The following is a 12,846-nucleotide window of genomic DNA, read 5'->3' as shown; positions in this document are numbered from 1 at the left end:
AGTTAATTTGTAAATTCAACAAACACATTCGTCTAATCAAGTAATTAATCTTCCTCCATTTTAATTTTAAGAAATTTTTGTTGACAGTTATGACTATTAGAGTGTTGACATCATTAATGAACTGAAGCCACCTAAGAAATAACACTCTATCAAACCCTCTAGAAAGCCAAGAGATAGTGAATGCTTTTCTACCTGAATCCAAACATTTTCTGAGCAGGTTTAAAATGACTTTTATAACAAACTTCTCTATTTCACTTAAAGTGGCTGAGATTATACATATATAAAACATTGAGTGAAATATGGAATGAATTGTATTGATGTATTTATTCATTAGGTTTTCTGAATTTCCTAGCTTACTTGGAAGTATTATCAATATTTATAACTACACCTCAATCAAATTTTAAATCAATATAAACTTCTAAAGTTCATGTATTGCCTAACCTTTTCCTTAGCATACAAAATATAAATCCTACTTTTAAATATACTTTCTTTGTGGGTTTTGAAAACAAACATAAAGAAATATCCATGTATAACATAAAAATTTAGAGACAAAAGTCATATTTTTAAAATAAATAAAATTTAATATTAATATTCAAAAGGAAACTTCAGTGATTTTCTGTAACTTTTATCTTGGGGAATTTTTTCCCATCTAGTATAGCACATCCCAAGCTTCAGTGATTCTTCTAACACCTTCATGATTTTTCTGTGCTGCTATCATTTACATAAGACTTCTTTAAATTGATAGTCACTTTTTAAAATTTAAATTCATATTGAAGAAATATGTCTTGTCATTGTCATAAATGGAAAACTTGTATTGCTTGCCAGAAAAGGGAAATGTAAAAATAAGACAATGAAATCTTTTTCACCATATAAAACAGAGCTATTGGGAAAGATCTCTTCTATTACTCCATTATTCATTGACAGTTCTGAAGTTGTTCTCATGATCTCTGCTTCATACAATCCGAAAAGCAGCATCTAAAATTGGGTTAACTGCAGGTCACAGAAACCAGGCATAGCACACATTGGGGTGGGAGAAGTGAGGAGAGTCCTAAAATCATGAAACTTTGGAATACTCCTGATTTAGTTCATTCTGTTATATTTTATTGATTTCTAGAATATTTTAGTACATGTTATGACACTACAAGGGCACATAAATCTATCTAATCCAAGCTATGTACACTTTCAGCACATGAAAGATCCTAATCTAAGCCTGTTTAGGGACTAAGTTTTGAGCCCCTGGTGTCATTTCAAGGATATACGATGAATCCCTGTCCTGTGTTTTCAGTACCTTTTAGAAGTTCATCTTATTCAAAAAGCCTTGGTCTCCTAAGCTGATCTGCATCCTCATGGAGGCCATTACCTTCCTTCTCTGCTACAGCCTCCTAAGACCAGAATGGAAGAAACCTGATGCTAGAGCTTGACCAGCTGGTCTTGACAGTCAAAGGAATTAGAGACGAAAAAACATGTTGATAGCAAGATAAGTCTTCCAAAGATTCATGAGCATAAAACATGAGCAGGCTGAGAATACTGCTTGTCAGGTATTCCAAATAACACATTATCAGTTTTTAATATACGTTAGGTCAATTGTATTTTTTGGAGATACTTGGACCTTTTTTTTCTTTAAAATACTTATACCACCTTATCAATAAAGTATGAAGATCACTCCAGAAATAACTTTTCCCCTACTTCTTGCTCTCCTCTCCATCCCTCTTCCCCTCCTTCTTTTTATTTTAATGCCCAATTTTAAATAACTGTCCTTGCTTCCCTGGATGAGGTACTGCAGGATCAAGTCTCTCCCCTGCGCATTGCTCATTGTTACAAATGGAAGGCAAACAAGGCCTGATGTTTGCTAGTTGTGTGGGGTAAATAATTTATGAGATGGCTTCATGCATTTAATAACAAGCAATGTTTTGAGTAATTGTAGTTTACTCATATTGAATACCTACCATTAATAAGATCAACATAACCGTTGCCCATTATAGCCACTGGGGAAAGTCTTCGAGTTTCTGTGTCAGGATCCAGACTTTCAATAACCATCATTGCATATTCCATCCCAAAGCACTGATAGCTCTGCCACTCTGGAAGGTACTTACAGGTTGAATCTCTAATAATTCCTAGAAACATATGTATATATATTTTAGCAATAATACAGAATCTCTTTGCAAAAAAATCCTTATAACATCTATTTCTTGTTATGCTAGTTTAAGAAGTAGAAAATAAAAGTTATTGGTTGAGTAGGCAAGTCATTAAAAATAAAACATATTTTGTTTCATGAGTTTAAGGCCTAATGACAGATTAAGCAAGATCCAACAAACCTTTATGAGGTGCTTTCTCAGTGACAGGAATTCTACTTCCATTCAAGAATGTGAGCATCGCCTTAGGAATTCTGTAGTCTCCAATTCCTACTTGGCTGTTTCCGTCCCATTCATATTCTGCTTGAGGTATCACAGAACCAGCATTCCCCAGAAAGGAGCCATCTATGTCTCTAAGAAAAGATTTCCTCTTGGCATCACAAACCATGTCTACACAATCAGATGGATTGACCTTACTGTGGAGAAAAGTTGAATTATTCAGTTCATTGTTTCTAGAGAGCAATATGAATACACTTGAATATTTACTTAGAGGATATCCAAAAAAATTGATCTATTGAATTTTATTTCAGAGAGATTTCAAAGTGGGACCAAGTAGCCTATGTAATTTGCATTATAATGAGGTCTGCTTTTCCATTGTGTTGATTTGGTCTATGATTATGAATTCATTAACATTTCAAAACGACAAGTCATACCTGTGGGATATAAAATCAGAATTCCACTTTTCTATTCTATATATTGTTGAATGATAGATTTCTTATTTGTGCATTGTTCACAGCATACTAACATTGCTCCAGAGAGTAGGTGAATGATTACTGTTATACAGGACATATAAAATTCCTGTGTTGGCAGGGAAGTCTTTATTATTATTTCCTTTCCTTTCTTGTCTTTAAAAATTATGAAATTATTGCTTACTATAAAATAATATAAAGATTTATTAAAAGCTCAATCCCTATCACCTTCCTATACTAATCTTTTAGGCTCATCACCAATTGCAGATTAGTATATATTCTTATAGACCTTTGTTTATGGATATATAGATAAACTTGGATTGTGTTTATTATGCTACATATTTTAGTAACCATTCTATAGATAAAAGTAAGAGGTAAGATAAACTCATCATGCAGTTCAAATGTAGATGGTATTTTGGCCTCATCTTGAGTTACCTGGAGTGTTGATTGATTGTTACCTGATTATAATAATAAAATAGCTACTTAATGTGAGAGGTACTATACATTCAAATGGTATGCATACAATATACTCATAGAATACCGTGATATATACCATGGGCAGAGTTATAGTAACAAAATAATAGTGGACAGCTCAGATCTATTAAATAGTATCTAGAATAGCTCTCCCTTTTTGCTATGAGAAAGATATGAAGCTATTAATACAAGTTATTCCTTACATAATATACAAGTTTTAGAGAAGGATTTTAATAAATATTTTTGTAGTTCATGTGTTCGTTGTATTCAAATATGTGCAATGTACTTTTGTAAGCAAGTCTGTGAGTAGAGTGCTCAGTGGCAGTCTTTTATGTTGTGGCTTTGGGCTCTTAGTCTAGGTTCCCAAGAAATAAAGCCTGAGATATGGATTTTTGTTCAAGTAAATTAGCAAAAGAATCCTCTCAAAAGGGGGAGAAGAGAAGTGGTTTATCCACTAGCTATAATCTGATCCCATGAAAACCTCTGGCATATGAACCGCACAGCAGAGTTTTTGCCACCTTAAGACAAAGCAGCCAGTCTTGTACTCCTGAATCAGTCAGTCATTTTACAGGGACTGCAGGCTGGTGGGAGGGAGCACTTTGGACTCCTACGGCTAGTTCTATTTGGCTAAGAGCAAAGTTCTGAAAAGCCATGGGTTGTTATTTGCCAACACTGAGAACATTTGGGGGCTGGGTACACTGCCCCTAAAGATCTGGGAGAGCACTGATGGCATCGCCTGCAAGCACAGAACTCAGAAAAATCATATTTGAAAACGTGGTATTTTCTTCAGGACTTAGAAACTAAAATTATATGTTGAATCTGAAAGATTCAGTGACAACTAAATAAGAGCTAATAACTGCCTACTGAAGAGGGGCTCTGTTGACCCCCCAAACACTGAATTCAACAATAATTAAATGAGTAAGCATTGGGCTGTCAGCAAAGCAAAATCAGATGAAGTCAAACAATTTATGAAATATTATATTTATCTGAAGAGGTGCCTACTTTTTTTCTGAGACAGGGTCTCACTGTGTTGCCCAAGCTGAAGTGCAGTGGTGTGATCACAGCTGACTGCAGCCTCAACCTCCTGGGCTCAAGCAATCCTCCTGCCTCAGCCTCCTGAGTAGCTAGGACCACAGGTGTACACCACCACACCCAGCTAATTTTTATTTTTTAATTTTTTGTAGAGATGGTATCTCCCTATGTTGCCCAGGCTGGCCTCAAACTCCTGGGCTCAAGCAATCCTCCTGCCTCAGCCTCCCAAAATTCTGAGATTACAGGCACTAGCCACAATGACTGGCTAAGATGCCTATTTAAATACAGAACATAATTCCTTTTCTCTTCCCCTAAGCTGAAAATGGTCAAAGATCAGTAATAAAATTTTTTCTGCCTCCAGTATTGTCTTATATCTAAATTTCTGGTCTGTACTTCTAATAAAAAGTAGGAATTATTAGATATATTATTCTACGGCTTAGAATCTAAATGATCGCTTCTGGAAATGTCCTGACACCAACTGACCTTTGTGATCAGAAAATCATTGTTCTAAGTTTATGTGTATTTATAATCACAGTGATTATAATGGCTGACATTTAATTTCCAAGCACATTTGGGGTACCTGTGATAGGATATTTTGGAAGCAATAGGTAACCAAAAAGGGTAAGAAAAATGGAAGAAATAATAAGAGATATCTCTTATCTATTAATGACTGTCATTGGAGAAACAAACAAAAAAATTGTGTGTGTGGCTCTTGCCTGTAATCCCAGTGCTTTGGGAGGTCAAAGCAGAAGGAACCCTTGAGGCCAGGAGTTCAAGACCAGCCTGGGAAACATAGAAAGACCCTGTCTCTACAAAAATAATAATGATAATAATAATAATAATTAAGCCAGGCATAGTGGCTTGTGCTTGTAGTCTCAGCTGCTTGGGAGGCTGAGGTGGAAGTATTGCTTGAACTCAAGAGTTTGAGGCTGCAGTGAGCCATGATAGCACCATCGCACTCCAGCCTGAGTGGCAGAGTTATTTTCCAGGATGTCCTCAAACTCCTGGGCTCAAGAAATCCTCTTGCTTCAACCTCCTGAGTAGCTAGAACTACAGGCACATTATGCCTGCTCTAAATGGAAAGATATTAATGTATAACACACTTCAGACCCCATCTATAGCTTTCATATTTAACAATGATGATGTTATTGATGATTCACACACAAAAAAAGCAATGGGAGAAAACATATATATTAAAGCCCAGTTTTAAAAACTCATCTGAGAACATTTAGATTTACATTATTAAATGGTCTTAATTTTCATAATGCTCATTAAAGTATCATAAAAACTGGCAGTTATTTTAATATGCCAACTTTCTCAGATCTTGAGCAGGAGGAAGTGAGAATGAAAAACTATAAAGATAGAAAAACCACAATTTTTATGTATTTTACCTTATATCAGGCCTATGTATAAATATTTTTGATTGTTCAGTGGTATCAACCAGTTTTATATTCTTCACATGGATTGGATGCTGTAAATCCTCATTTAAAGGGTTAGTAATGAATATAACATTAGTTTCCCCTGAACAAACATTCTTAAATCCAACAAATGTTGAACCTAAAACATAAATAATAGATAAGTGATTATTTTCTCTAAAGAAAGTGATAAAATCAGATTTAATGCACATTCTGCCAAACACATCTTTTGTCACTACCTTAAACATGGAGCTCTTGCCTGATATGGTAAATAAGTCTACCACTATTTGTTGTAGCCTGTTGCCTCCCAATATCAATATCCATATCACTGGGTAATGATCTCCCATATTTTCTCCGGGCTTGGCCATGTAACTTGGTTTGGCCAATGGGACAATAGCAATCATGGCATAAACAGAGATCTGGAGAGTGCTTGCATATTGGAGCTTGCTCTTTCTTAGTGTTCCAGGGAATTCTGTGACTTCCAACATATGAGTAAGCCTGGGATACATGTGGCTCTATCACTCCTATCGCCCCAGCTAATGGCCAGCACCAACTGTCAGCAAGCACCAACCTCCAGTCATGGAAGTAAGGCTATCCTAGACTAACCAGCCCATAGCCATCCTGTAAACTGATGGCACCTAATGGACAAGACCAGGTGAGACCAGTAGAAAAACCATCCAGCTGAACAAAGCCCAAATTGACAATCCACAGAATCATGAGCTAAATGGTTGTTTAAAGTCTCTAAATTTGGGGGGTTGTTTGTTATCCAGCTAAGATAAATGAACCACTATTTTTCCCTTGGCTTCTTTGTATATATTATGTGGCTAAAAGAGAAAATTGATTGGATCCAAAAACTTAATCTCCATTATACTTAAAATCCAATAACTCTAAACAGAAAAGCAAAAGGTGACCTCTAAAATTCTTAAATCAGTTATGTTTTATCTATGCCCCTTCTTAATTATATTTTCTCCTAAGAAGAGTCTATATACAGGAATACAAACCTGTAGATTAGTATTAAGAAAATATCACAGTAGCAGATGCTGTTTGTGCCCTGCCCAGATCTCCTTTACTGGGCCAGTGCACCCAACCCCTAGTTCCTCCTATAAGTATTGGCTGCAAACCACCCATAGCTGCGGTCTTCTGTTTTTTTTTTGTTTGTTTTTGTTTTTGTTTTTGTTTTTTGTTTTTTGAGATGGGGTCCAGTGGTGTGATCATGGCTCCTTGCAACCTCCGCCTCCTGGGTTCAAGCAATTCTGCCTCAGCCTCCTGAGTAGCTGGGATTACAGGTGCCTGCCACCATGACTGGCTAATTTTTGTATTTTTTCAGTAGAGATAGGGTTTCACCATGTTGGGCAGGCTGGCCTCAAACTCCTGACCTCAAGTGATCCACTCTCCTTGGCCTCCCAAAGTGCTGGAACTACAGGCGTGAGCCACTGCACCTGGCCAGCTGCTGTCTTCTCTAAAGAATTGCGTTTAGCCACTTGAGAGTTCCCTCACCTGAGAGATTATGTACTCCCGTCCATTACCACAAGTAGCTATGCCTAACTAACTGACAAGAGATATGGAAGAACCTTTTGCCTCAATGTGGGAAAAATATTTGGCACAATTTATACTCCACAGCTCTCTGAAGTTTCAGGTAGAAGAAGCTGAACTTCAGCTGAGGTCATATCTTTGCTTAGCTCCTTCCTCTGCCCTATTCTAATACTTCTTTCACTCCCTTTCTCCTGAGAGCATACCTTCAATAAGCCACTTGCATAAGAATTCCATTTCTGCTTCTACTTTATTAATGCTTTGAAGAAAGAAAAGGAAACTATGGTGGTTATTCACACATTCAAAGCAAATCTCAGGATCTAAGTGTAAGATCAGAGGAACCTTACAACTTAAGAGATGGTTGGGTTCTGAGACCTACCAAATCCCCTACATCAAAGGCCCTGACAGAAACAAAGTGCGATGCTAAGTTAGTTGGAGATATGTGGGAAGAGCCACTTGGACCCTGAAGTCTCAGAATGTGCTGAATGCTCTGGATGTGTATAACTGGTATATTCCTTCTTATTAGAAAGTAACTTCCTGCTCTGCTTGCTTGAAATCATCAGGGACCTCAACAGAGCCTTACAAGACAAATCTTATCTTCCACAGGACCTGTTCCAAGGGAATTATACACTAGTATGGCCAGTTTTAATATGTTGCTGGAATGACTTTTAGAAGCTTGGAAATAGTGATGGCCCACATTAAGTAGAAATGCCCAAATTTCCATGACATGTTGTGAGAAAAATGCAGGTCAAAGGCTCAAAAATGGGAATATTGAAATTGCATGTATTATATTGGATGTATTACATAATTCCAATGCATTTCAGCCCAACTCAGAGGTGGCCTTGAATGAGTGTGGTGTGGTATGGTGTGGTGTGGTGTGGTGTGGTGTGGGAAGATCTTTCCAATTAAAAGAAATTTGGGTAGTACACAGGGTCACCTACTTTTTGTGGAGAGAGAACTGATCTAAGGTAAGGATAAATATGGACTCCTGGGTAGTGATGAGTGGCTTAGCTGGTTGGTAAGGGGCCTGGAAGGAAGTAGACTGGATGTTCAGGAAAAAATATGTGGATAGACATGTCAAAATGGGTATAAAAGGCATGCTATTTCCCACCAATAAGCATTCAATACAGAAGAGTACCTGAAAAACCAAATGGGCAGGATGATTTGTCCAACAAATATCAGTTAATCTCTGTCCTCAGACACCCCAGCCCTTACAAAATCAGCTTATGAACTGAGTAGCCTTTTTGGTGAAGATGGAGGCTATGCATGGATCCAACAGTATGGACACCTTCTTTCCAATGTTAGTGGAGCTACTTCTACTACATAATGTCTGACCCAAATTGCCTGGCACAGAAATTAAAATGTAGTCTTTAGTATACTACCATTCCTCAGGAAATCAAACAATTACTTAAATTAAAGTTGGCGACATCAGATTTATTCCACCCTGGAAAAGGTAACAATTCATGCTGAGTAGTACTGACATGTATTCCTGGTGTGAGTTTTCCTTTCTTATAGGGCTTCAGTTAGCACCACCATACTAGGACTCACAAAGTGATCTAATGGCACGGGCTCCTGCATAACATCACCCTGGACTAAAGAACTCACGTTCGACAAAATAGGTACAGGGGTGAGCATAAGACAATGGAATCACCATGGAAGAATTGCTCCAATCATACAATATAGCATCTGGAGAATGTCACCCCAAAAGACTGGTGGAATAGATTCTTGAAGGCACAGCTGACGTGTCAACTTTGGAAATGACAACCTGCAAAAAATGTGTTATTAACCTAAAACAAAGGGCATTATATGGTGGTAAATATCAAAAATATAGAATACATGGGTGCTGGTACCAAAGGCAAGAAGTAGGAGTAACTGTTTTCACCATTATCCCTGGAAGTTCACTTGGGAAACTTGTGCTTCCAATACTAAAATTTTAGGTTCTATGAGTCTGGAGGTCATAGTTCCCAGATGAGAAGTGTTTCAGCAGGACATACAGTAAGTGACTCAATAAAAATAAAGTTATACCTACCTCATTGTCACTTCAGGCTTCTCGTCAGACAAAGAAGGCATTTACCACCTGGCAGAAGTAACTGATCCTGATCACCATGCAGAGGTAGGCCTATTCTATAGAATGAAGGCAGGATGCACTCACATGATCCACTGGGGTATATGCCCACTGTTAGTTGTAAAATGGCAAGTACAGAAGTCATGGCTTCATAAGGGCACAGAAACCAGGGACTTTTTTTTTTTTTTTTTTTTTTTTTTGAGACAGAGTTTTACTCTGTTGCCCAGGCTGGAGTACAGTTGTGTGATCTCGGCTCACTGCAACCTCCGCCTCCCAGTTTCAAGCAATTCTCCTGCCTCAGCCTTACAAGTAGCTGGGATTATGCCCAGCTAGGTTTTTTTTTTTTTTTTTTTGTATTTTTAGTAGAGTCGGGGTTTCACCATGTTGGCCAAACTGGTCTTGAACTCCTGACCTCATGATTCATCCACCTTGGCCTTCCAAAGTGCTGGGATTACAGGCATGAGCCACCATGGACCAGGGGCCTATTTATAACAGGAATGAGGGTCTGAGCCATTCTACCAGGCAAGCCATCTTGACAAGCAGAAGTGTTAACCAAGGAAGACAGAAATTTAGAAAGGGTGATGGATGAGAGAGATGATGAGTATCATTTATGGTTTAGGGACCAGCTATGGCAGGGTGACCACCAAACCTCTTCTTAAAGTTTTTCCCAAAAATTGTGACCATGCAGAATCTTGGAGAAATCATATATAACTTAATATAACTAACAATGAAGAAAGCAAGTAGATCCCAGTAGTCCCAAGAGAGGACTAAAGTGGATACAGGCTGGTACACCCATCTCTCATCTCTTTGAATATTGGCTGTTAACAAATCTCCCTTTTCCCAGACAATTAGCTTAGCCAAAAAGGAGCCACATACCCGGGAAATCAAGGTCCTCCCCATAGGGGCAGCTGTAACCAAAAACTAACATGGGGATACAAATGACTTCCGTCCCCTACCCACCTCACCAGATGTGGGATCAACTCCGTGGCAATTTTAACTTACACTCTAGAGTTTCCCAGTGGCATCAAGTATAGCTGCCCTTCAGCTCATATCACATCCTTGCTTAGCAACTTCCCTTGCCCTGTTCTCTTCCTTCCCTTTCTACTAGGTGTTCCAAGAAGCCACTAATATGAAAGTCCTCATCTAAGGCTGTTTCTAGTGAATCTCAGTCAACCAACTTTTATATGTTATTTTAAAAGACTATATCTTATGAAAGAATAATAGTTATTAATGTTCTTTCAATAAATTTCAATCTTAAGGCTTCATTTCATAAGGGCAGTTTCATTGTCACATGATATTTATAATATTCTGGAGCATATTATTTATTAAAAGCCATATATGTTCAATTACAACCTATGTAGCATGTTATACAATTTCCTCCAAGGGTATGAGCATTGCAATTAACACTTAAAAGTGTTGCTAATTTGTTTCACATTTCTGGGATCTAAAGCTGTGAGAAAGAATATGTTAAAACTTAGATGTCTAACTTACTGAACTACTTTCTTCAGAGACACTGGTTAAAATTATCCTGGAAGGGACACTTGCTCCATTAAAACAGGAAATGCACAGTGTTATTTAATAGGCCAAATGAAAATAATTGATGTGTTTACTACATTAATTTATATATAATTATTTTACATTTCTAAGCAGCCATCCTGGTTCAGTGAAAGAGCAGTGGAGTTTGAATCAGAAGATTTTGATTCTAATCCTAGCTGTGCCAATAGCTGTGGGAATTTGGCCAGGCACTAAGTTCTTTGAGCTTAAGGTTCTTCAATTTTAAAAAGGGATGATAATATATAATCCTACTTACATGAAAGGGCATTTACAAATTATACAAATTAATATTAAATCACAAATGCCAGTGTTTTGTTGTTGTTTTAGAAGGAAAATTTAACATCAATTCTTCAACATACAGTATAAGAATCCTGCCAAGAAACCATTCTCAAAATTGACTCTGATGTCTGATTTCTTTGTCATATTGAGCAGATTGCTATAAAAATTCACTTAAATCATTTTTACTAACAATGAAACATTATTAGTTATCCTCTACATATTCTTTACAGAAATTAATTGAGAAGATTTGTAAAAGACTGTGTACTTGCCTGAGATGTCCAAAAGGCCACTGATGGCATTGTAACTCATGATTCCTGCATGGGGCTTTCGGGGTGCCATGTTATGAGCTGAAGCAAAGGTAGGCCAACAAATCCCACTTCTCCCACCTTTTACCAAAAAAGAAAAAGTTAATGAAAATTGAATATGCACTCATATGAACAACAACATTAAAGTTTCAAATTTTTCACCTGATGGAGATCTAGGACTCCGATGAGCAGCAGTGAGTTCAATATTAGGATCATCATTAGTTAGGACATCAGAGCAATTAAACCCAGGGCTACTTCCAACAATTAATGAGCTCTGTTTGGAAATAAGCCAAACAATATAGCATTAATAATAGCTCTTACTAAAAGAAAACATGGGCCGGGCGCGGTGGCTCACGCCTGTAATCCCAGCACTTTGGGAGGCCGAGGCGGGTGGATCATGAGGTCAGGAGATCGAGACCATCCTGGCTAACAAGGTGAAACCCCGTCTCTACTAAAAATACAAAAAATTAGCCGGGCGCGGTGGCGGGCGCCTGTAGTCCCAGCTACTCGGGAGGCTGAGGCAGGAGAATGGCGTGAACCCGGGAAGCGGAGCTTGCAGTGAGCCGAGATTGCGCCACTGCAGTCCGCAGTCCGGCCTGGGCGACAGAGCGAGACTCCGTCTCAAAAAAAAAAAAAAAAAAAAAAAAAGAAAACATGATAATGAATAGTACTAAATTCTACTGTAGTAAATAAAATGCAAACTATAAATTCAAAAAGTGGATCATTCATTAAACAAAGATGAAAAAGGTTGCTACCCCAACTGGAAAAGCACTAAGAATAGGAGAGGGAAGACAGACATGTAAATAATTACATATAAGGACATGTTATGTTTCTGTGATAAATACATCCAGGGAACAGTAGGCACAAAAAAGTGGAGGAAGTGTCATTACCACCTAAACTGGCTCAGAAAAAACTTCATAGAGGGAGTGAAAATTTAACTATTTCAAGATTAGCAGGTGATAAGCAAGAAGAGGGAAGGGAGGAGGAGAGATAAGAATGAACAGCTTTTTTGTTGGGTGCGGTGGCTCACGCCTGTAATCCCAGCACTTTGTGAGGCCGATGTGGGCGGATCACGAGGTCAGGAGATCAAGACCATCCTGGCTAACACAGTGAAACCCCATCTCTACTAAAAATATAAAAAATTAGCCAGGCGTGGTGGCGGGCACCTGTAGTCCTAGCTACTCGGGAGGCTGAGGCAGGATGTGAACCCGGGAGGCAGAGTTTGCAGTGAGCCGAAATTGTGCCACTGCACTCCAGCCTGGGCTACGGAGCGAGACTCCATCTCAAAAAAAAAAAAAAAAAAAAGAACGGTTTTTTAGGCAGAGGGCAGTGGGAACAAAGGCAGGGAGGTGTGGGCGAGACAGAGATAGA

At 38.2% G+C, this 12,846-nt stretch overlaps 1 protein-coding gene across 7 annotated transcripts in view; it reads right to left on the bottom strand.

Moving 5' to 3' along the window:
• Positions 1–12,846, bottom strand: part of PKHD1L1 (PKHD1 like 1) — a 174,747-nt gene that overhangs the window by 26,997 nt on the left and 134,904 nt on the right. For all 7 annotated transcript variants that reach the window (NM_177531.6, XM_011517371.3, XM_017013971.2 and 4 more), the window contains 5 exons: positions 11,638–11,749; positions 11,440–11,556; positions 5,719–5,884; positions 2,316–2,548; positions 1,947–2,114 (listed from right to left, as the gene is read on the bottom strand). In NM_177531.6, coding sequence (NP_803875.2) covers positions 1,947–2,114; positions 2,316–2,548; positions 5,719–5,884; positions 11,440–11,556; positions 11,638–11,749 — 796 coding nt within the window. The remainder of the gene's footprint in view (positions 1–1,946; positions 2,115–2,315; positions 2,549–5,718; positions 5,885–11,439; positions 11,557–11,637; positions 11,750–12,846) is intronic.

The sequence above is a fragment of the Homo sapiens genome, chromosome 8 (genome assembly GCF_000001405.40).
Source record: "Homo sapiens chromosome 8, GRCh38.p14 Primary Assembly".
NCBI lineage: Eukaryota > Metazoa > Chordata > Mammalia > Primates > Hominidae > Homo > Homo sapiens.
The sequence above is the reverse complement of the archived record's forward strand: the minus strand, read 5'-3'. Positions and strand labels throughout refer to the sequence as shown.